Raw genomic sequence first — 24,770 nt, 5'->3', positions numbered from 1 at the left:
GCAAAACTCTTTTCATGGGTTGTAACGATTTAGCGAAAACTTTCAGAACTTCGTCTCAATTTAATCTTAGCTCTCCCTCACCCCCACCCCCCAACACCGTCTTCAAGCTCAGCCTCCAGTAGGGAAAAAACAGGCTTGAAACCAAGACCTCCCACTAGAATCTAATTTTACATTTGCAATCTGTTGTCTTGTGATTTCGCTTCAAATTTAACTTAGAAATAAATACATTTCATCCTTTCTCCTGCAGTTTTGGAGGCCTGTTTTCAAGTCATAGAAGGGTAATGATTACGTTTATTTTAATAAGTTTTTAAATACCTCAGGGGAGTGAAAATTTATATTATTAATCATTATAACTTACATCATTAAATGCCTTATGGTCAGATTTCACAATGTCCTTCCCAACGACAGAGAAACCTTGCTTTCACAGTTAACTTGAATATGATATGAATTGGATGATCATGGACCCACCAGTGAGATCTAAGGTTTTATGTATTTGAAGTGCCCTTGTTATAAGGCAATGTCGGTGTTGAACATTCCCACTCAGAAGAGCTAGACGAAAACTTCCGTATATTTAGGTTACCATCACAAGTAAGAGATGGTTTCTGCCATTGAGATTTTATAATAAAATGAGAAGAGGGTACTTAAAAACAAGACAAATGTGCCAGTGTACAAATAACGCTGCCATAGATACAATGAGAGGAGGTCAGTGTGCCATTGAAATATAGCGAAAAAGTAGAATAAGTCCAAGCTAGGTAGTATTTTCTTCATCTTAGGTAATTTTTCCAGGCCATCTGTTTTAGAGTTTGGGTTTGATGCCGTTTTGTTGTAGCTGTCAGCATAGTGCCCACATCCTTACTCTCTTCAACTGTAAAAAAAAATTCGGTGACTTAAAAACCTGTTGGCATGTTCTATTTATTTTACTTTCCTTAAAGTGAATTACGTATTTACTATAAAAACATTAGAAAATACCAAAAAAAGGTATAATTGTGAAAATTAAAACGCCCTACAAGCAATCCATCCGGAATAATTGCTTTTTAAAATTCTTACGCAGATTTATCATGTGTATATGCATGTGAAATATTTACATATTAATATTCTTTTTTTTTTTTTTTAACTTGAGACAGCATTTTGCTCTGTCACCCAGGCTGGAGTGCAATGGTGCAATCTCGGCTCACTGCAGTCTCCGCCTCCAGGGTTCAAGAGATTCTCGTGCCTCAGCCTCCCGAGTAGCTGGGATTACAGGCACCCCTGCCCCCCGCCCCCACCACACCCAGCTGATTTTTGTAGTTTTTAGTAGAGATAGGGTTTCACCATACTGGCCAGACTAGTCTCAAACTCGTGACCTCAAGTGATCCACCTGCCTCAGCCTCTCAAAGTGCTGGGATTACAGGTGTGAGCCACCGCCCCCAGCCACATCTTAATATTCTTGGAGAAAATTTTTAGCTGTCTCAAGGTCTGTATGTTGAACGTGCATCTCAAATCTCAGATTTTAATTCTGGAAGATGAGAAGAATTTTGCACTAGAGATGTTTGACCCCAGTGGTAGAATCACCTTTTGGATTATTTACTCCCACACGGGGCAAGCCCTGGCCAGCTGACCCACAGGGCTGGGCATTGTTCATGTGGAAGTTTCCTGTTCTTCAGCTAGGGGGTGAGGCATCCTGTCCTGCTGTCTGCTAGGAGCACCACTGGAACCGCTGGTGTAATTGAGGGCATTAGACATCCTAAACCATAAAAATATTATTATAACCTCCTTAGTTCTCAAGGTGATGAAGTTGTTTCCAGATTCCTTTGTGTCTTTTTCTTTCCTGTTTTCCCTCAACAATCTGTGGTTGTGGAAATATTTTTCTATGTTCTTTATGCCCAGGACTTTGAACACAGGGTGGCTTTCTATTAACTGGAATATTTTCTTATGCAGTACAGGTGGTTTAAAAATGCAAGGTACGTGCTGTATCTTGGGTCATATAGGGTTGACCTTTCTTTTTTATGTGTGTTCTGTTTGTTTACTCATGTACTTTTTTTTTTGAGAAGGAGTCTCGCACTATTTCCCAGGCTGGAGTGCAGTGGCACGATCTTGGCTCACTGCAGCCTCTGCCTCCTGGGTTCAAGTGATTCTCCTGCCCCAGCCTCCCAAGTAGAGCTGGGATTACAGGTGTGTACCATGCCTGGCTAATTTTTGTATTTTTGTAGAGATGGGTTTTTGCCATGTTGGCCAGGCTGGTCTCGAACTCCTGACCTCAAGTGATCCAACTACCTCGGCCCCCCAGAGTGCTGGGATCAGGCATGAGCCACCATGCCCAGCATTTACTCATGTATTAATATCATCATTGATGTTCATAATGATCTTGCACAGGCATTGCAAGCAGTTAAGTTTCTCATTAATTTCAAGGGTGTTTACATTTACTCAGGAAGCACACTTGTAATAGTTGCTTTAAAAGTCTTTGTGTGATAATTCCAACATCTGGGCAACCTTGGGATTGGCATCTATTGATTGTACTTACCCCTGAGAGCTAATTAAATTTTCCTGGTTCTTTGGAATGCATTGTGGGCATTTTGAATATTATGTTGTGATACTCCAGGTATTGTTACATCATCTGGAGAATATTGATTTTTCCTTGTTGTTATTTTGCAGGCAGTCAACCTGACTTGGTTCAGATTGTAAGTGCTGTCTCACCTCCGTGGGTGGAGGCTCTAATGTCAGTTCAGTTTTCAAAGCCTTTGGTATACTGCTTTGAGTTTGTCCCGTTTTTGTGCCACTCAGGGGTTAGTCTGAGGGTTGGGCTGTGGTTTATGTCATGATTCAGTTCTCAAAGCTTTTGCTATCTTGCTTTGGGTCAGTCCTAGGCATGTGCATCTGAGGAGTGAGCCTGTCACTTGTGCAGATTTATACACACCATTATGGGATGTTCTTTTCCAGTTCTCTTTTCTCTAAGATCTCCACACTCTCTCTGGCTTACAGGGACCATTCTTGATTCCTCTGGGTGGAACAACAAGGTCTGATCCAGAGTTTTTGTTGCCTGTGCCATAGCTTCACTGGAGCCGTACTCACCCTTGGTATAAGGCTGGGTGAGAAATTAGGACAACAAAAACAAAATAGGAAACTCACCCTTAAATGGGTGGCATCCTCAGGTTTTGATCTTTTTTTATTTTATTTTTTTATTTGTTTGCTTTTGTTTACTTTTTGGTCCAGAGTTTTTAGTTGTCATTAGCTGGGGCAAGATAGGCCTTAGTTGGTTTACTCCAACTTGCTGGCACCAGATATTAACAACTTATTTTTTTTTCACTAGTTTATTAAGACAGAAGCTTTATCCTATAATCAACATCACCTCTTTATTTAACCTCATTTTGGACCACTGTTCTGTTTGCTTTGTACTTTCTGATCACATTTTGCCAGATGATGCTAAATGCTTGCTTTTTTGTTGTTGTTGTTGCCTAATTCATTGAAATTATGTTAGAATATTCTAGATGCTTTTCAGCTAAAAATAAAAGGGGATTCAACTATATTTCTTTTGGAAGAACCCTTACTTTAAACTACAGTTTCATTAGAATATTCAGTTAGTTAGTTAAGGCTCGTTTTGTTTGTTCAACTTTTTATTTCAAAATAATTATGATTCACAGGAAATTGTATGCAGGAAATGTAACCATCACCTAGTTTTTTCTAATGGTTGCATCTTACATGATTATAGTAAAATACTAAAGCCAGGAATTTGACATTGTTTCAATATATGTGTATAGTTCTATATCTTTTTTTTTTTTTTTTACAAAAGGCTTAGTAGCCTAATAAATCTATAAAAGCAGCCCCTGAGAAATGACCACCTACCTGATATATATATATGAACCACCCTAACTAATAAGTATTTGTGTATATTGATAAAGTTTCTTAAAATACCTTTTAATTCCTTTACTATGTATAGACAGTCCCCAACTTAGGGTGGTTTGACTTGTGTTTTTTTAACTTTACGGTGGTACACATACAATCATTTTGTTTTTCACTTTCAGCACAGTATTCAGTAAGTTACATGAAATATTCAACACTTATTATAAATAAATATTCAACAAACATTCAATACTTAAAATACGCTTTGTGTCAGATGATTTTGCTCAGCTGTAGGCTAATGTAAGTGTTCTGAGCCATTTAGGGTAAGCTGTGCTGAGCTATGATGTTTGGTAGGTTAGGTGTATTAAATGAATTTTTGACTTAGGATATTTTCACCTTACAATGGGTTTATGAGGACATGACCCCATCATAAATGGAGGAGCATCTGCATTTAATTTGGTGGGATTTAAAGGCCCTTAAGGTGATTACTTATTGAAAAGTTTAACTTATCACTTTAAGAGAGGGATCATGGTGTTGGTAAGAAAAGAAAAATCACACTCATCCTATTGTCTTTGATCCCTGGCCCTGAGCACTCCCCCAGGAACTCCTGATGCTTTGACCCCATACCACTTTCAGATGACACTCTTGCCCATCATGCCACTAAGACTCCTTTGCTCTCACTTTCTCTGGATCGTCCTAGGCCTGAGCAGTTCTACACTTGCCCTCTCAACTCTTAACCTCATTCCTGAACCTCTGCACTGCAGCTCCAAAAGGAAGAGGAAGATAGGAACTGGAGGCAAGAATTCAGTGGAATTAGACAGGTGCAAGCCCTTAATTCTTTCCCCAGGAAGAATTGGGGGTGGGGAGGGGAACACACTGGAGCACAAGCTGAACACCCTCACCCCTAAGTTCATGGATCAGGATGACCTTCAACCCAGTGGTCCAGAGTAAGGGACTGACACAGACCTGCAGGTGGAAGGGACCCAGAGAGCAGAGAGCTGATTGGGAAGTTTCTTCCAGGCATCCTGAGAGAAGAGGCTAGCGTATTTAAGACTGATGTGTGCTGTGTCTCATTAGCATTGTGGTCATGTTCTCACCTATGTTGCATTGTAGTTGTATGAGTTTTCACATCTTAGATTAAAGTGTCTTTGTCATTCATTCATTCCAGTATTTTTTTTTTTCTTTTGGGTTTTTGGTGTTTTTTTTAATGGACCACCTACAACCTTTCAGGCTGGGTTCTAGGCAATGAGGATACAGCAGGAAACAAGACACTTCCAGCCCTCCTGAAGCTTAGGCTCTAGTGGGAAAGGATAGAGAATAAGAAAGACCAGTAAGTGAAATATATGTTGGTTACAATTATGATCAATGTGAAGGCAAAGCAAAAGAAGAGGGGTAAGAAATGTTGAGTGCTGCAGCACTGGTTGTCATTTTAGATGGAGGAGGGGTCAGGAAAGGCCTCCTTGACCAGGGGACATTTGATTGAAGGTCTGAAGGAACTTGGTGGAGTAGGCGGAAAGGCAGAGCGTTCTAGGCAGAGGGACAGGCACAGGCCCTGAGGCAGGCTAAGGAAGCCAGAACTTAGAACAGGGATGTCCAATCTTTTGGCTTCCCTGGGCCACATTGGAAGAAGAAGAATTGTCTTGGGCCACACATAAGATACACTAACACTAACGATAACGGATGAGCCAAAAAAACCAAAATTGCAAAAAAATCTCATAGTGTTTTAAGAAAGTGTATGAATTTGTGTTGGGCTGCATTCAAAGCCATCCATGTGGCCTGTGGGCTATGGGTTGGACAAGCTTGACTTAGAAGATTGGAAAGAAAGAAAAGCACGAGAAGCCAGACTTGAGGTTTGAATATGGAGAGTTGTTCTTAGGCTAAAAGCTTGTCCTCCCTCCCTCCTACCTAGTCCCTAAACATGAGAGCTATGTGGGACCACTAACATTCTATATAAGTAAATCATAGTCTGAAATTAAGAGTTTAATGAATTTAAAACTGGTAGTGTTTCCAAGCTTGAGATCTAGTACCAGTTTTCTGGCATCCACCTTTTCAATGTCAATCCCAATTTTTGCATTTCAGCCTGTCCTCCTTGTCCCAAATATTCTCTCTCCTACCTAGTGACTGTGTGATGATGTTAGTGAGGTGCTGGTCCTTCACTTTTTGCTTTTGTTACTAAAATGCACCGATATTTACTGATGCTTTATCGTGCGTGGAATATTTCTAGTCTTGTGGAAGCCGTAAAAAAAGTAAAAGTTAATTTCTGCTCTGAATTTGCTTTCTTTGGGCTACAGGAACAACAAAACCCACACAAATATAAAATGCAAATCAGGTTTTGTTTGTTGAAGATAAAAATAAAAAGGGTTAAGTAAGATTGAATAGGAAGAAATTAAGATGATGGAAGTAGCTGGCATTTTACATTTGTACATGGAAAGGGTAAAACTTAAAATTCATCGGCCGGGCGTGGTGGCTCACGCCTGTAATCCCAGCACTTTGGGAGGCCTAGGTGGGCAGATCACAAGGTCAGGAGATTGAGACCATCCTGGCTAACATAGTGAAACCCTGTCTCTAATAAAAATACAAAAAATTAGCCAGGCGTGGTGGCGGGCGCCTGTAGTCCCAGCTACTCGGGAGGCTGAGGCAGGAGAATGGCGTGAACCTGGGAGGTGGAGCTTGCAGTGAGCCAAGATCGTGCCACTGCACTCCAGCCGGGGCGACAGAGCAAGACTCCGTCTCAAAAAAAAAAAAAAAAAACAAACAAACTTAAAGTTCACCAACTTTCTGGGGGTTGCCAGTGGGGCAGGGGTTGTCCCTGAAGTGGAGATTGTGTCTCCTGTATGCAATGAGCAATTTCAACTTTTCACGCTGATGTTATTTCAGAGTCCTCCGCTGATCCCACATGGGCTTTCATCGTTCTTATTAACCTCTCAGGAACAGCTTTCAAATTGAAGGGTGTTTCAGCAATCCCTAGAAACTTATTTTTCTTAACTTCAGTTGCTTCAAACTTCCTGCTCACTCTCCTTAGGCCATCCCCTGAGAGTTTCTCTTAGTAGGATTTAGGAGATTTGGCATTCCTCTCTACATTCTAGTTCTGAAGATAAAAGTGGCTTCTTTCCTACCTTGGCCAGCTGAAAAGAATCTTGCTACTAAAAATGCTATTAATATAACAGACCCATCAGCGTGATGCATGTAGTGCGGTAATTCTTGAAGGTTGGGGCCATTTCCTTCAGGAAACCTCTCCTGAGGCTTTTAACTTGATGAGTTTTCTGTTGGCAGAAACAAGCCTTACCAGAAAGCTGTTGTTGAAAATATATGTGTCAATTTATGTTTGCAAACTTTTGATATATGTGCTAGAGGAGGGTAAATCTTAGCATATTTGAGGCGACAGTTTTGCCTTTTACTCAATTTATTTCCTCATAGTTCTTTCCTCTTTTAAATTTAAACCTATGTGAGTCTTAAAATGGGGCTGTGACTAACATTGGTTCTAAGTCTTTATTTATTGGCAAAACATATAGTTACATAGGCACATCCAGGTATCTTAATATGTACTTTAAAAAAATAAAGAACTCCAAGGCATTGGTCAAAGCCTTTAGTGTTATTGAAATGCATATTTATTTATTTTACTTGTAAGAAATGTAGCATGTACCATTCTTAGGAATTTAGATAATATAAATGGTTGTGCACAGACCGTTGATCTTTTCGTTTTTATCTTTTTTCTTGCTTCTTAAAGATACCAGAGAAGCGTGAACATATTGCTTTGAAATCTACTTGCTCCTAGTAAAAAAGAGATTGTCTTTATTGGAAAATTCCCTCTGAGATTCCTGTGATGTGTGACCTGGTGGGGAATATTCCAGCCTGGGAACAGCTTAACATCTGGTGTCTGTATGAGTTACCCCTGAACTCACTGGAACATTCAATGGAGGGTTTCCCTTTGTGTTGCCACAAATTTTATTTCAGTGAAGATGTGCTGGTGAGAGTTTCAGCAACGTTTTAGCCTGAACAGTGGAATTATAGAGTAAGTCTGGGATCAATGTGAAGGTATATTGTGTTCCAGGCTCTTTCGATCTCTTTGCAATGATCACGGTAATATCACTTCCTGCTTCACCACGATGCTTTTACTTTCTTGTCTATCACGTGCCTTCCCTGGCTAGAAATTAGCTTCATGAGAGTAGGGGATGTGTCCCTTTTGTTCACTGCTGTATCTCTGGCTTCTAGAACATGGTAGGTGCTCAATGTGTATTTTCTGAATGAATGGCTCTATAGGTGGTTAAAAGAACCACCTCAGAGATATGCCCAGTTACTCTGTTTTTCTTCTTTCCTTTCCAGCTATTTTCATGTGCGTTATCTTAAGTGCATACAATTTGAAGTGCGCTAGAGAGACTTCATGGAACAAGAATAGGCTAAGTAGAGTCACAGTTGTCGAGCTTTGAAGATTTTTCTCTTTCCCACTGTGGGTAACAGAATTGTGTCATCGGGTCAGTGAGAGAGACTGTAAAAATATTAAGGAGGGACTTGAATTAACCTGGGGGGCCCCAGAAGGCGGAATCACACTTAGTGGTTTCACAATGTGAATTTCTGTTTGCAGGGCATGCTGTACCAGATTAATGTTCACAGGTTGGATTTGCTCCCAGAAATAAACCCATTAATCTACTGCTAAGCAGAGAGCGGAGTTTCTATTTTTTTCTATTTTGTTTTGCCCATCCCCACCACCCCTCCATAGCCCTCCCCAAATGCCCCAAAATCCAGGTTCTCAGAAGGCTGTGACATTAAAGGTCAAAGCTTTTTTTTTTTAATTTTTGACTTTGATTTACTAGGAAAAGTTGATCAGACTTACACCTTGAGGTTTTCCATTTTTGATTGATTTTGAAGTATCATTAGAGCTCAAATAGAGCCAAAAAAAAAAAAAAAATGAAAAAACGAAACGTACCCATTGTCAGGGAGGGAAGGAGGTTACCAAATGCACCTCTAAGTTTTGTTTTTTGAAATATGTGTATCATTTCAAACAGAAATTACTCCCTTGGTGAACATTTTGGTTTGTACTTTCAGAGTTTTCAATGTATAGATAGGAGCAGAACTTCAAATGTTTAGTAAGGAAGACAAGGTCAGCAGAGTTTCTGGCTGTCCAAAAGCAGCGCTCTCAGCTATGGCCTGTGGCCATCTTCTCTCTGGGCAGAGACAAGTCTAACTCTCTGATGCTCATATTTATGAGCTCATTTCACATCTCAGGGGGCAGTCTCAGTAGATGATGTTACTGTTCACCTGCTCCCAGGTAAGAGTCCGAGAACCTACCAGGTGCATATAGGAAGTTGTGCTGTTACTTACCTAACAACCCCTGTGAGCCAAGGTGTTCTGCCCTCCCTGCAGGCTGAGCGCTTTCTCTAAGATGCCTATACCTGTACTAATAGTGACTCAATTCTCCCCTTTCCCCCCGCTTTGCTGCAGACCATAAAACCATGGGAAACGCAGAAAGTCAACATGTAGAGCACGAGTTTTATGGAGAAAAGCATGCCAGCCTGGGGCGCAAGCACACTTCCCGCTCCCTGCGCCTCTCGCACAAGACGCGGAGGACCAGGCACGCTTCCTCGGGGAAGGTGATCCACAGGAACTCCGAAGTGAGCACCCGATCCAGCAGCACCCCCAGCATCCCCCAGTCCCTGGCTGAAAATGGCCTGGAGCCCTTCTCCCAAGATGGTACCCTAGAAGACTTCGGGAGCCCCATCTGGGTGGACCGAGTGGACATGGGCTTGAGACCTGTGTCTTACACTGACTCTTCTGTCACTCCCAGCGTAGACAGCAGCATCGTCCTCACAGCAGCCTCTGTGCAGAGCATGCCAGACACTGAGGAGAGCAGGCTTTACGGGGATGACGCTACATATTTGGCTGAGGGAGGCAGGAGGCAGCATTCCTATACATCCAATGGGCCCACTTTCATGGAGACGGCGAGCTTTAAGAAGAAACGCTCCAAATCTGCAGACATCTGGCGGGAGGACAGCCTGGAATTCTCACTCTCTGATCTGAGCCAAGAACATTTAACAAGCAACGAAGAAATCTTGGGTTCCGCCGAAGAGAAGGACTGCGAGGAGGCTCGGGGGATGGAAACGCGGGCGAGTCCGCGGCAGCTCAGCACCTGTCAGAGAGCCAATTCCTTGGGTGACTTGTATGCTCAGAAAAACTCTGGAGTGACAGCAAACGGGGGGCCGGGGAGCAAATTTGCAGGCTACTGTCGGAATTTGGTGTCTGATATTCCCAATCTTGCAAACCATAAGATGCCACCAGCTGCTGCTGAAGAGACTCCTCCGTACAGTAATTATAACACACTTCCCTGTAGGAAATCTCACTGTCTCTCTGAAGGTGCCACCAACCCACAAATTAGCCATAGCAACAGCATGCAAGGCAGAAGAGCTAAAACAACTCAGGTAAAGTGATTGAAATTTGTTTCAATATTTTGGGAATGGTGCATGACTCTTTAAGTGCATGACTTTGCTCTTAGAAGATTTCCATCTTTTAATCGGGTTTTACCCTGTTTGCCTGGTAGTTGCTGCAGCTGGTGCTGTTTTGGGAGGATTTCTCTCTCTTCTGCTTTGCCCCTCTTAGAGTTCTGTGGTTAAGGGGTGGGGATTAAGGGAAGTGTGTGGGGGGAGTGGCGATGTGATAGGAGTGGGAAAAAAGCTAGTAAGTTCATATTGGGAAACTGCTTCTACATCTTAGTTCTTCAACAGCATCCCACTTATTCAAGCTTCCTTTCTAACTTGGTCCTTCCCGTGGAAAAACAGGCATGGTGGGTTGCAGACTCTTGGAACTTATTTCTTCACTGCAGCAGGTGGGAGGAGGTTAGTCGGCAACTCCTCTGAGGAGGCATTTTAAATTCTGGGCGGGTTTGGGTCACTTGTCAGCTTCTCTCGGTGGTTGGCAGGCTCGCTGCCTTACCGGGAGCCATTTCAATTTCCTGTTCCGTGCGATGCTGGCCAGCCCTGTCTCTGGAGGGAGGTGTAGCGGAAGGAATAACATGGGTGGCTTCCAATTCTTACTTTGCAACCAGCTAGTTGTTTGACCTTGGGCAAACCCTGACTTCTAGTCATTCCTCTGAAAAATGGGGATAAAGATGCTCAGCTTGCCTGCTTCGGGGTCTAGTGCACGAAACCGTGGGGAGGAAACTAAGAGACTTCGCTCCAGCCTGGGCAACAAAAGCGAGACTCCATCTCAAAAAAAAAAAAAAAAAAAAAAGATTTTGAAAGTGTTTTCCTAGTGAATGGAGGCACCATTACCTTAGCTGGCAATGATAATTAAGATTAGGATAATAAAATGTTGGGCAGTTGAGCCGGCTTGGTGGCTGACGCAGGGGGATGCTTTGAGCCTAGGAGTTTAAGTCCCACCTGGGCAACATAGTGAGACTCTGTGTCAATAAAAGAAAGAAAGAAAGAAATGTGGAGTAATCCTGCATGCATTGGGCCTTTTCTGGTACTTCTGTTCTCTGAGGCAGAGTTCAGGGAGTCTTGGCTTTTGCTGAGGATGTGGAGGTGGTTTGTAGATGGTGCTTCAGGTTAAAATTCCAGACTGGGTCCGTTTGCCTTGAATGGCGGAGCAGCCTCAAGGTTGACCAGCAGACTTCCCTGCAGTCAGCACTCTGATTGCCCAGTAGGAGGTGGTACTGCACCTTCCAGCCTTGCTCCAGTGCAAGTCAAATGGGCATTTCAAGGGTATGTTCTGCTGGAAAGGGGGTCTAAATATAATGGGCATAGGATGGAGGATGTAGGGGAAGCCGAGAAAAAGAAAATCGGCATTAGACTGTCTGTGTTCCTGCCTGAGGACAGGTTTTGCTGATGGTGTCCAAGCCGGATATTTTGGCTCCACGTCTTCTTACCTGAGTGACTTTGGGTAAGTTGTTCACATTCTTGTAGCCTTAATTTCTTCATCTGTCAAATGGGGGTAATAAGGTTTTTTGAGAAAGTAGAATGAAATAATATGTGAAGCATAGTGCCTGGTTCTTAGGAAGCAGCCAGTAAGGGCAACTTTGTTAGCTGTTGTAATTTTCATCATTGTTAGTGGAGGCATATGGGTTGAGGACTCGGGGTAGTTGTTTGGATCAATATCTTGAGTACCTCATAAAGGTGGAAACAGTAGACACTGGGGACTCCAAAAGCTGGGAGGGAGGGGAGCAAGAGTTGAAAAACGAATTATTGGGTACTGTGTTCATTGTTTGGGTGATGGGTTCAATAGAAGCCCAAATCTCAGTATTGCATAATATATCCATGTAACAAACATGCACGTGTACCCCTTGACTCTAAGGAAAGAAAAAAAAACACTTGTGTCCTAGAAACCAAGTTGCTACCAAGGCTGCATCTGTGGTCTGAGAACGTAAGCCTGAAGCTTGCCTCCAGATGCACTCCCTGAATTTTAAACCCATCTCTTCTGAATTGAGATTGTAATGACACAAATGACCAGATAACCCACCTGCAGCCCCTCTGTCTACCCTGCGAGGGCTACTTCTGCACTGTCAATTGGACAGATCATGGAGATATGTGACCTATTAAAGAGTCACCTGAAAGGGATTGAAGGGCTGTCTTGAAGGCATTATCAGATTGGCACTGCAAGGCTGATTCAAAGAGATGATCTATGGGGCCTTCGGAGCTTAGAGAAGGATACAGTGACGCAGACTGTTAAAAACAGAACATCACCTTGGACTTTCATTTCTACCTGAACAGTGCTCAGTTAGTGCATATGCTATGTAAGATTTGAGAAGGGTGCCCTGTTGTATTTTGGCTCTCTGTGGTTCTGACACTAGGGATGGCTCTCCCCTATACTCGATGGCTGATGGGGATTTGAGCCTTTGAGTTACGGCTACCCCCAGAAAATGGGCAAAGCAAAGGACAGTTCTCCCCTCTAGGTCTGGTACCACTGAAAGCTCTCATGTGTCATTATTATACGAAATTTCTATTCTTTGGCTTGTCACCTTCTAAAATTGTGAATATATGGAAGTGAGATCATCTAAAGGTGGTGTCTCATAAAATCACTGCTTAGGCAGCTTAATGTAATGGGAAGTGCCATTGGCCAGGAATCCTAAGAAGTGCATTTGCATCCTGGCATGTGTGCTTACCCAGTGGTGACCTTGGGCCAGTCACTCCATCTTCTGTGCCCCAGGATCTGTTGCTGTCCAGTCTGAGTGACACCAGCCTCCCACAGGGCCATTGGGAGAACCAAATAGGATACCATGCATGGAAACCTCTTGTGGAGCGTATAAAATGCACGGAAGTATTATTTTTGTATTGACTTTATATGTTGAGTGAGGATCTTTAATGACTTGAAACAAACCCCGGAATTATGCACAACACTATCCACCCGCCCACATTTCCTAGTCTAAGTTTGGCGTGTTCATCCAACGCTATTTCTTGAGAGCCCACTATGTTCCAAACAGTGTATTTTAAGAGGCAGTGGGTGTGGAAGCTTCCTTGAAAAGAATGCTTTTTTAAAAAAAAATTTTTTTCTTTTTTTTTGGTAAAAGTTTTTGACCCAGGGGACCTCTCCAGTGAGCTTGAATCATAGATATTAAAGTCTCCTTGGCTGCCCTGATGATGTAGTTGAATCTGTGATCATCCTGTCAGCAATTTTACTCCCCAGAAAAGAGTTCCTGGCAGACATTTGACCCAAGAGCATGACCTCTAAGCCTGGAAGAAAACACATTTTATCTGAAATAATGTGAACAACTTCATTTGATTTGAAAATGATCAAAAATGGGTTTTTGGCCCTTTTTCCTGTTTTTGGATTTTTTCAGTAGTTGGATGGATTATTGTAATGTGAAGTCACAGGAGTTCACATTTAAGTCTTGAATGGTGGCACATATGTGCTACAGGGTCTGCTGGCAATTTTTGGTTTAATTCGTGTATTTTATGAGCATGTTTGTTGTGCATCCACATGTGCGCTGTGCAGAAAAGTTTGTCTTGGGAGTCAGTATGAGTAAAGCCTCATGCTATTTGAAGCAGAATTTATTTCTGTTGGTTTCTGTAAAAGTACTTAATAGGTTACTCCTTAGATTTAGTTGATGGCTAGTTCGTCTTTGGGCCTGAACTTTATGAATTTCTTTGGTTACAGACAGAGGAGGGGGCTGCCTAGTGTCAGACAAGGAAGTTAGCAGCATATCTGAGCTTGCAACTTTGAGGTTGTTACCTCTTGGTTATTTGACTTCCATGGATCTCAGTGCCTCTTAAATGAGGCTGGAGATTCTGCAAGGGAATGAATGGAAAACTCATGGCACAGTTTTACACATACAAATGCTTAATAAATAGGAGTTGTTAGTTGTGATGTTGAAGATTGCCTCATTGTTCTAGGGTTCTGCTCTCCCGTGTCTCTGAAACTTTCAGTGGGTGAGTTGGAGAGAGAGAGAAACCTGCCGTTTGATGGAGCCTTATAGCCAGGTTCTGTGTTCTGTGGGAAGCTTTGGCGTGGAGCCGTTGTGCATGCTTGTGAGGAGAGCTTCATTCATCCACTTGGGAGATGAAGGAACACGGCCAGGTTGTACTGAGCATGTCTCTGGGAACCTCAGCCTCAGGAGACCAGCAAGGAGCCCGGCTCTCGGAGCGTCCCTAGCCAGGTGTGGTGCTGGTGAATAGATTTGTGGGTTTCACTGGCCAGTTTCAGACACAGCAGCATCCCTAGAAAATAAAGAGATTAGGAGATGAGGTGTCACAACTGGATGAAAACCCAGGTATTCTTTTTTTTGAGACGGAGTCTCACTCTGTTGCCCAGGATGGAGTGCAGTGGCACGGTCTCAGCTCACTGCAACCTCTGCCTCCCAGGTTCAAGCGATTCTCATGCCTCAGCCTCCTGAGTAGCTGGAATTACAGGCATGCACCACGGCGCCTGGCTAATTTTTTGTATTTTTAGTAGAAACAGGGTTTCACCATGTTGGCCAGGCTGGTCTTGAATTCCTGATCTCCGGTGATCTTCCCGCCTCAGCCTCCCAAAATGCTAGGATTACAGGCGTGAGCCACCGCACCCGGCCAAAAATCCAAGTCTTCTTTCTGACTTGCTAATCAAGGAGGGCCTTTTCTTCCAAAGCACACACCCACACTGACTACCTCCCCGTGCTTGAAAAGGTTTCAGCTCAATATCCTCAGATTTTAAGATCAAAACCCTCAATTTTGGTACAGATACAAAAAAAAAAAAAAAGGACTTGGCTGAAAAGAAAATTATTACTGCCCACTTTTGTCACCTAAAACACTGATTACGGAGAGAGATGGCCAGGATAACTGTAGCAGAGCCATCCCTCACGGCTGCTTTCTTTGATAAGCAAGTAGTCGCGTTGATGATTTCATTAATAACAAGGTAAAGAGTGCAGCATTGTCAGAGGAGGAGCTTGAGTTCCTAGAAAAATTGTCTTGATGTTTAAAGTTTTGTTTTATTTTGCAACTGAGCTTCAATGACTCAGAGATAAGTTTGTTTCCTGGGCTGAAAATGCACATCAACAACCATATGATTCTTGACCTTTGGTCACAGACTCTTGAGAATCAGATGAAAAATGTGGACGTTTTCCTTAGATAAAGACAGGGACCACCCTTCTGCATATCATTTCAAGGGATCCATAGGTCCCCTAAAGTCCATCTAGAGGCTTCTTTCTGGTTAAGAACCTCAGGTTTTTATAAAACAAATTTTTTCATGTAAAATCGATTTTTAAAACACCCTTTTTTTTTTCTGTTCTCCTCTATCTTCTGTTTGATGCTTTTTTTTTTTTCTTTTCTCTTTATCTTTCTTTTTCTGGCACGTAAGTTAAGCAATGAGATATTTATTTTGCAAACAAACCCATGCATTTTCAACAAGAATATATATCTTCTTTGCCAAGATCTGTTTTTGGGAAGTTGGAAGGTGGGTAGGTAGTTGAGAGATAGCTTATGTTAGCCATTCTTAGACCTTTTTATACTCTTAAAAAGTAATTCAGGAGGCCGAGGTGGGCAGGTCATTTCAGGTCAGGAGTTCGAGACCAGCCTTGCCTACATGGTGAAACCCCCGTCTCTACTAAAAATACAAAAATTAGCCAGGCGTGGTGGCGGGTGCCTGTAATCCCAACTACTCGAGAGGCTGAGGCACCAGAATCATTTGAACCCAGGAGGTGGAGGTTGCAGTGAGCCGAGATTGCACCACTGCATTCCAGCCTGGGCGACAGAGTGAGACTCCGTCTCAAAAAAAAAAAAGTATATATGTGTATATATATATTTTATTAATATATATTTATATAAAAATATTTATTTATTTATTTATATTAAAAATATATTTTTTGACCAGCCTAGGAAACATAGTGAGACCTCGCCTCTAAAAAAAAAAAAAAAGGAAAAATTAGCTGGCCATGGTGAGTACCTGTTGTCCCAGCTACTTGCAAGACTGAGATGGGAAGATGGCTTCAACCTAGGAATTTGAGGCTTTCATGAGCTAGATCACACCACTGCACTCCAGCCTGGGTGACAGAATGAGAACCCTATCTCTAAAGTAATACAATATTTTATTCTCTAAAATAAAAGATGTGGGACAGAGGCATTGTTTTCCATTTTTGCAGATCTCTATGATTTCTAGCTTAACAGAAGACACTAGCGTCTCATACCTACTTTTGCATTCACTCTCTTGCAATATACTGTTTGGTTGGACCCTATGAGCAGAACCTGGACTTGCACAGGGTAGTTGGAAAAGGAGGAGCCTCACTGACTCCCTGGAAGTATTTTAGGGAACCCTAGTCCATACTTTGAGAGCTGGTCATTTATGCTAATACAGGTTGGGAACATTCAGGATTATTATTATTATTATTATTATTATTTTATTTTTTTAGACAGGTCTTGCTGTGTTTCCCAGGCTGGAGTGCAGTGGCTATTTACAGATATTATCATAGTGCACTGCGGCCTTGAACTCCTGGGCTCAAGTGATCCTCCTGCCTCAGCCTCTTGGGTAGCTGGGACTACAGGCATGGACCACTATGCCCACCAGTTCAGCTTTTGAGGATCACATTCTTAGGTCGGGTGCATTGGCTCATGCCTATAATCCCAGCATTTTGGGAGGCCGAGGTGGGAGGATCGCTTGAGCTCAGGAGTTCAAGACCAGCCCGGCCAACATAGTGAGACCTTGTCTCTACCAAATTTCAAAAAAATTAGCCAGGTGTGGTGGTGTGTGCCTGTAGTCTCAGTTTCGTAGTGGGCTGAGGTGAGAGGATGCTTCAGCCTGGGAGGTTGAGGCTGCAGCAAGCTATGATCATGTCACTGTATTCCACCAGCCTGCATGACAGAATGAGACCCTGTCTCAAAAAAGAAAAAGGAAAAAAAAAAAGAAGATCACATTCCTAGTATAAGAATAGAGGAAAGTTGAGCCCCTTGACTCAAATTGTGTCATAACAATGTGTAATCATTGTTTTTTTACAGCATAACTGTAAATGTGTGACTGTTGGATGTGGCCATAAAGCCAGCCTGCCCTAAAGGCCTGACAGGGTCTCCATGGATCCCAATGGAGAACTTAGGAAACACCTGACCAGCCTGTCACATTGTCATTTGGGCCCAGTTGGCTTTGGACCACCAGTTGACCGAGTATCTAGCTTGGGCCATAAGATAGTTCAATATATCTTTCTGGTTTTTTTTTTTTTTTTGAGACGGAGTCTCACTCTGTCGCCAGGCTGGAGTGCAGTGGTGCAATCTCAGCTCACTGCAACCTCCGCCTCCCGGGTTCAAGTGATTCTCCTGCCTCAGCCTCCGGAGTAGCTGGGACTACAGGTGCATTAATATTTGTATTTTTAGTAGAGACGGGGTTTCACTGTGTTGGCCAGGATGGTCTAGATCTCTTGACTTCGTGATCCACCCGCCTTGGCCTCCCAAAGTGCTGGGATTACAGGCATGAGCCACTGCGTCCAGCCTAATATATCTTTCTTACTTCCTCAATTTTTTAAAAGAGTTAAAGAACAAAAATTTAAGTGAACTCCGATTGCATCCACACAAGACATAATCCAACTAGGCTGCTTAAAGCCTATAAATGTAAGCTTTATAGCTAGGACTCATTTGTCACCTCAACTTTAGTTGAGCATGAGCTGAGTTTAGAAATGACAAAACCTTTAACTCCAGCTGCAGTGCATTCCATGAGAAACTGTTTTCCTTGTTTTGAGATTGTGGTGGAAAATGAGCAGCAGTGAGTTCATTCAGCAATTATTTTTGAAGTGCCTTCCCCATGCCAGGCTTTATTCTTGGCACTTGGGATGCGTCAACAAGGAAAGATCCACAAGCTCGTGGAGCTCGTTGGGGTGAAGTGGGTGTGTGTGTGGCAGAAAACAGTTAGCATAATAAGGAAGCGATGTGCTGTGGAAGAAAGACAGGGCATGTTGAGGAAGATGGGGTGTGGGGGATGTGGGGGGCAATTTCTGACAGGGTGGTCAGGGTGAGGGCAGACCTGGATAGGGACTTGGAAGGAGAGGAGGGGAGGAGGGAGCTGGCTCCTGAGTTGCAATGTGGGAGGGTGCCCAGCACATTCGAGCAAGGAGGAGGAGCTCAGGGTGGCTGGGGTGGGGTGGAGGTGGGAGAGGAGATGCTGTGGAGAGGTTGGCATGGTAGTTGGAGGAAGCACAGAGAAGCCTTCTGGTTGTAGTAAAAGGGGGGACGTGAGTATTCTTGGGAGTGAGAAAGGTTGGGAGTATGCCCTGGAATGAGTTCTTCAATTTCACTAGTGGGTGGGGACATCGAAGCTCAAGTTTTAACGCGGGACACCGGGGGAGGGTCTTGAACAGCAGTCTGAGGAGTCCTCCACATTGCTCCTGGAACATTTACCTGGCAGTGGTGTGCCGGATGGATTGATGGAAGGAAGATGGGTTAGAAGAGAGAGCTTATTGCTCAACCAGTGATGTGGCACTCGGAGGGGAAGAGAAAAAACTGAGTCTCTGATATATTATGGATAGTGAGGAGGGAGGGGAGGGATGACTGTAAGGTATAAGCACATACATAGAAAAGCAGATGAAAGGAGAGGCAATGATTCATTTAACTTAGACATAAAGCTTCTCCAATCAGGAGTTACCTGAAGGAACATTTCAAGCTTTTGCCAACTTACTTTGGAATCCCTTTTTAGTAACAGTAGGAATTTTGGTTCCAATGCTTGTAGCTGAAATTGTGAGTCACTCCCATTGGAAATCGTTAGAAGAAAAGGAATGGGTTGTTGGAAACATAAAAAGAAAGGCATAGAGATTTTGCCCTAAGAAAGGAAGGGGAGGGAAAATAGAGTTGATTTCCTATTCTGGCAAATCAGGGATGGCAATTATTAGTATTTCATAATAGTGACCAGTAGTTACTAATTTATAATGTAGAGAACGTCACCATTTTCCTAGTTTAGTGTGCTGTTTTGTGAACGTGAGAACAATTAACAAGCCTAATTAGTATTAGGCTGGCACCAGCCTTGGTATGCCTGTGTTTTTCCCAGGTTTCTCAGAGACCTTTCTTCCATGTTGGTGCAGGAAGTTAGCAACTGAGTTCAGGCAATGCCTTCTCTCCTTGGGCCAAGATGTAAGTAGGGCTGAAGGTAGAGATGACCGTAATTATAGTTAACATTTTTGAGCAGGTACTATGTGCTGGGCTCAGTTTAAGACACTTTTCCTGGGTTAACTCAATCTCACAGTGTCTTATACAGTGTCTTACAAAGTAGATGTGTTGCTCTCCCCATTATACATATCAAGAAATTGAGGCATGGATTGGTTCAGAGTCATTTACCTAGAATTGATACTTGCTGTACTGAGATTATCAAAGGAGAGTATACTGAGAATACCAAGGAGATAATACTGAGAGCCAAAGATAATATACGTGTGTGTGTGTGTGTGTGTGTGTGTGTGTGTGTGTGTGTAGTGAGGGGTACTTAATATTTTGGGGTTAGGAAGAAGATGATAAATCAGAGGAAGGACATGTTAGAATTTAACAAGCCAGAAACAGTTCTAATTCAGGGTTTCTGTAGGTCCACATTTCTTTACCCCCTGGAATTCAGTGAATTCTGCATTGTAGTTAGCATCTTAACACAGGTGTATTCAAGCTGGATCTATCAGGGAAATTCAAGTGACAAAGGAAACAGTATCTAATTGCATTCGACTTATAACTTAACTACAAGTGGCCAATTGATTCTACTGGTCCTGGAATTGTCCCAGAGCCTTTGCACTTTCTGGCTAATTGCATTTTCAAAATTGTGTTCGCACATCATTAGCACAGAAAACCTCTCCCTTTGGTAGTATTTGAAGTCTCCTGTCAAAACAACTGGAGCCTTACCACAATGTGTCATTAGTCTACATTCATGCTGCGTGACCCTCCAGTTTTCAAGGCAGTGAAAACAGGCTTTGAATTTGCCTCTTGCCTCCCTCATTTTAGCCTGGGAGCTCATTTAAGCATTTGTTGCCCAGCTCAAATGCTAAGAAAACTCTTGCCCACAGCTGTTGTATGTATTAGGCTACAGCTGGCCACTTGTGCATACATTCATTTTTTGGGGAAGCTGCCAGTGGAATGGCAACTGGTGAGTGCCCTGAAAATCTGGCTTCAGAGAATTTGTCCTGGGAGAACAGGATTGAAGAGCCTCTCGGCCCTGTGAATGTTGTTCATGATCGGAAATCTCTTCAACGGAGTGGTTCTAACATGGAGAGTTTATTTTGAGCTGTTTTCTGGAAGTCTCAGCTAGATCATGAACCATGTTTAGAATTATTTCTCTGTCTAGCCAGGATCTTACCATCTCCCTTGATGTCCTCTGCCTTTTTTGATTAAAATTTAGTATTTGACTCTAAGAGGTAACCTACCTTGCAGTTGCTACAAAAACTGCTGAGGCTCCCCTGGGACTATTCCGTGGTGTCAGTCTTCTGTATTCCTCACTGCTGGGAAGACTGGGGAGGTTTACAGGTGCTTCTGGGATAGGGGGAGGATCAGGATTCTCAGGTGGGTAGTAGCAGGAGCCCCTCTGAAAGATGACCACTAAGTAAGTTTGCAACACAATGAAGGAAAGAAAGAGCGGTGTTGAGTAGCACCTCTGGCTGGGTCATCACCCTTTCCAGCAATGCTGGAGAATGGACTTCTGGGAATTTGGGACATCCCAAGTTTCATGACTGAATAAGGGCTGGGGCTGGGCAACCTGCATCCGTTTCTCAATGGGCTGGGTCACATATCAGTGGGGGCATGTGTACCACTGAGCCTGAATAACCACTTAAGGAGACAAGGTGGAGTTGTCTTGGATCACAGATGACAAGAGCATTCCCCGTTGATGACACGGAGCTGTTTGCTTCCAAAGCATGCAAGCTCACCTGGGGCCCGCAGGTCTTTTACCTGGAGTAATCACTTCCTTGCTTGGTTTAGTGGTTGTCCCAGAGTTGAACACACACAGTCTGGTCATGGCAAAGCTACAGCATCAGTTGGCATGAGCAGATGTTCAGGTCTTATACAGAGGTGAGTGTCCATTGAGGCCTTACTCTTAGTTTAAATAGAGACAGATGTGAGGGCCTTCTGTAAAGGGATGGATGGTGTTGGCAATGTAGTGAACTCTTATGAGACACGCCCTTGAGAGTTGGTCTTTCGGGTTTCTGCCTCGCTTTTCCTTATTCTCTCTTCCCATCCTCCTTCCCCTTTCTTGCACTTGCAGGTTTTAGCTTTTTGCCAGGCAGGTCACAGTCACTCAGCTTTTGCTGAAAAAATCTGGAAGAGCCATTGTTGGTAAGAAAAGGGGGAAGGCATGGGATTGATTTGTTTGTTTGTTTTGTTTTGAGACAGGGTCTCTCTCTCTCTGTTGCCCAGGCTGGAGTGCAGTGGTGCAGTCTTGGCTCACTGCAACCTCCACTTCCTGGACTCAAGTGATCCTCCCACCTGCCTCAACCTCCCGAGTAGCTGGGACTACAGGTGTGCACCACCATGTGTGGCTGATTTTTTTGTAGTTTTAATAGAGATGGGGTTTCACCTTGTTGCCCAGGCTGGTCTCAAACTCTTGACCTCAGGTGATCCACCCGCTTCAGCCTCCCAAAGTGCAGGGATTATAGGCATGAGCCACCATGCCCTGCTGAGACTGAATATTTAGACAGAATCTGGTCAGGTGCTACCTGCAGCTGAGTCATGAGGTCACCATATAATAGTGGAAAGTGTACTTGGAAGGATAGGTTTCAACTTCCCATCTGCCACCAACCAGACTTGTGATTTTCTAAGCCGCAGGCTGTCAATCAATGAGATAGCTTTGCCAAGTCCCTTCCTCTTCTGGAGCTCTGGGAATTACAAGATGCCTGGGATCATTTTTTCTCCTTTGTACCAAAGTCTCTCTTATGGAATAGGGATGTTACCTGTGTAGCTAAATTTCCCTGTCTTGCAGAGAAGCATTTCACCTCTTTGCATTTTAGAGAGAGCTTAATAGCTGATGTTTTCACGCATACCAAACCTTCTTCCCAGAAGGACTGAGACATGAAAATGAATCCAAAAGTTTGGAAAATTCACAGACTCATCTTGTGTAACTCATTGGTTATCCTGAATAATCAACAATTGTCAAATTTTCTTTTGTCTTGTATCAAGAGGGAAGCATATGGTCAATGTCCCTGCCAAGGAGAAATGTGGGTTGATAACAGTGTTTTCCTGTTTGTGTAGAGGATTTTTACCAATTGGCTCTAGGTCTTTCATGACCACCCGTGGATGTTAATAAGCAGGATAGCAGATAGCAAAGCTGTGGGAACCAGCAGTTATAGGGGTCTGCATCTGAGCTGCATTCGTGGTTTCTTTCTTTCCCTTAAGTCCCTCTAACTCCCAGGGGTCTAAGCTCCATTTATAATGGAGTTGATCCCTAGAAGCTCACCCAGCAATCTCCTGCTGCCATTCTACTCCCACCACCCTCTTTTTTCCATGTCTTGCTATACATCTCTTTTAGTTGCTTATTTAGTATTTCTTCATGATGAAGGTGAACTTTGAGCAATTCTTAGAACTAAGTGAAGTTCGTGGAGATATGGGCACAGTGTCTGTCTGGGGCCTTGTGTAGGCCAGTATTAGTTTGTGGCATGGCTCATACTGCCCCCATTGCCTCTCAGCAAAGATAGGAGCCCAGAGCATTCATTTGTATGGTAATTCAGAATATCTGGTTAGTTTTTACGTGTTTGAACCAGAATGAGCCATTTGTGAGACTAAAGGCCCCCAAATTGGTGAAACTGCCAAACTGTGTATTACTTTGGCATCTTCTATATTAGACTCAGCCTCCCGTTCTCTTCCTTGGAGAACAATTAGGCTCCTTTCTTATGCATAAGACTTTGAGCTGTCTGTCCAATACTGCAGTGAGTATCCTTCCTTGATGACTACCATTATTTAATTATTGTTTATGGAAATGCCTGTAGCTCTTTAGAGCAATTAAGATACTGATTTCAGAACAGACCTGTCTGTCCCGGAAATGTTCAGCTTCAGAGCAGAAGCAGCTTTGGAAGTTCCCAATGTTTTTAAACTGGGAACTGATACCCTCAGTATCTTGGCAGTTGCCCCGAGCTGTCATTTGGCCCTGGGGCAGCAAGTAGCCTGCCCAAGGCTCCTAGCATCCCAGCTTTGAAAGGGCAAGGTAATTGGAGAGCTCAATGGAGCTGTAGGCCCCACAGACTTATTTAGCACAATGCAGAGTGAGAGGCTGCTTGTTTTCAAGAAGCGAATCTGATTAGAGGATGAGGATTCTTGCCTGCTCCTGGAACACGGAGCCGTGCTGGGTGAGTGGGTGAGGCGGTGCACTAGCTATCTTTTCAGTCACTCCATTATAAAAGAGACTCCTAAGCATGCCTTTTATTTATTTATTTTTAAAGATATCAGCTATAAAGACCTAGTTATTCATTGTCACCCCCTACGTCTGGAACAATTAACTCATCTGCCTGCAGAATTTCCTGGAGTTCAGGATAAGCTGATGAGGCTGAGGATGCTGGGTTCTCAGCATGGCAGCGGTAGAATCTCAATCGCGAATTTGCCAATTCGTTAATTATCTTAGAGAAATAATAAGCTCTTTGAAGTGCTCCTTATTTCTTTTATATTTCTTGAACATTCCAAATCGTGTGCTCTCACGGAGGGCGGCTGAAGGTTTCCTGAGCAGCTCTGCTGGGTCTGTGCGGGTCCAGGGTTGAGCAGGACCTGGTCCAGGAGCCGTCAGGAGTGGCTGTGCCTTATGCGTATCCCGCTGCTACAGAGCCCTGGCTGGACCCAGGGCTCTTCTCCACGTGACCCTGGGTTCCTTCTCCACGTGACGCTTGTCTTCTTTGCTCTCTCTTTCTGCTCCCAAGGATGTTAATGCAGGCGAGGGCAGTGAGTTTGCAGACAGTGGGATTGAAGGGGCCACTACCGACACGGACCTCCTGTCCAGGCGATCTAATGCCACCAACTCCAGCTACTCACCCACCACAGGCCGGGCCTTTGTGGGCAGCGACAGCGGCAGCAGCTCCACCGGGGATGCGGCTCGTCAGGGGGTGTACGAGAACTTCCGGCGGGAGCTGGAGATGAGCACCACCAACAGCGAGAGCCTGGAGGAGGCCGGCTCGGCGCACAGCGATGAGCAGAGCAGCGGCACCCTGAGCTCTCCGGGCCAGTCGGACATCCTGCTGACCGCCGCACAGGGCACGGTGCGCAAGGCCGGCGCCCTGGCCGTCAAGAACTTCCTGGTGCACAAGAAGAACAAGAAGGTGGAGTCAGCCACCCGGAGGAAGTGGAAGCACTACTGGGTGTCCCTGAAAGGTGAGAGCGGGAGGGCCCCGGCTATGTGCCAAATGCACCAATAGAGGTGCCCCGTTGTGCACATACTCACGGGATGGGTGGGTTTGTTGTTGTTGTTGTTATACAGAATTTGAAAATCATACTAATTTAAAACATTTATCATAGTAAGAGCACTTCGCATGAAATCTACCCTCTTACATTTTAAAATGTGCAATATGGCATTATCGACTACAAGTGCAATGTTGTAAGGCAGATTTCTAGAATCTAGTCATCTGGGCTGGGCATAGTAGCTCA

The 24,770-nt window shown here is 43.7% G+C and overlaps 1 protein-coding gene and 1 long non-coding RNA gene across 13 annotated transcripts in view; one reads left to right on the top strand and one right to left on the bottom strand.

Moving 5' to 3' along the window:
* Nucleotides 1-24,770, top strand: part of TIAM1 (TIAM Rac1 associated GEF 1) — a 440,670-nt gene that overhangs the window by 282,849 nt on the left and 133,051 nt on the right. For 10 of the 12 annotated variants that reach the window (NM_001353690.1, NM_003253.3, NM_001353691.1 and 7 more), the window contains 2 exons: nt 9,256-10,229; nt 24,050-24,497. In NM_001353690.1, coding sequence (NP_001340619.1) covers nt 9,267-10,229; nt 24,050-24,497 — 1,411 coding nt within the window. In that variant the 5' untranslated portion in view covers nt 9,256-9,266. Of the gene's footprint in view, nt 1-7,543; nt 7,829-9,255; nt 10,230-24,049; nt 24,498-24,770 lie in introns of all 12 variants that reach the window. The other 2 variants (NM_001353688.1, XM_047440969.1) reach the window with 1 other exon arrangement.
* LOC105372777 (uncharacterized) lies at nt 13,781-20,819 on the bottom strand. Its single transcript, XR_937661.3, has 2 exons — nt 20,582-20,819; nt 13,781-14,459 (listed from the first exon to the last, which is right to left on the bottom strand). It is a non-coding gene; the product is annotated as an uncharacterized LOC105372777 (long non-coding RNA).

This window comes from Homo sapiens, chromosome 21, assembly GCF_000001405.40.
Source record: "Homo sapiens chromosome 21, GRCh38.p14 Primary Assembly".
NCBI classification, from domain to species: domain Eukaryota; kingdom Metazoa; phylum Chordata; class Mammalia; order Primates; family Hominidae; genus Homo; species Homo sapiens.
The sequence above is the reverse complement of the archived record's forward strand: the minus strand, read 5'-3'. Positions and strand labels throughout refer to the sequence as shown.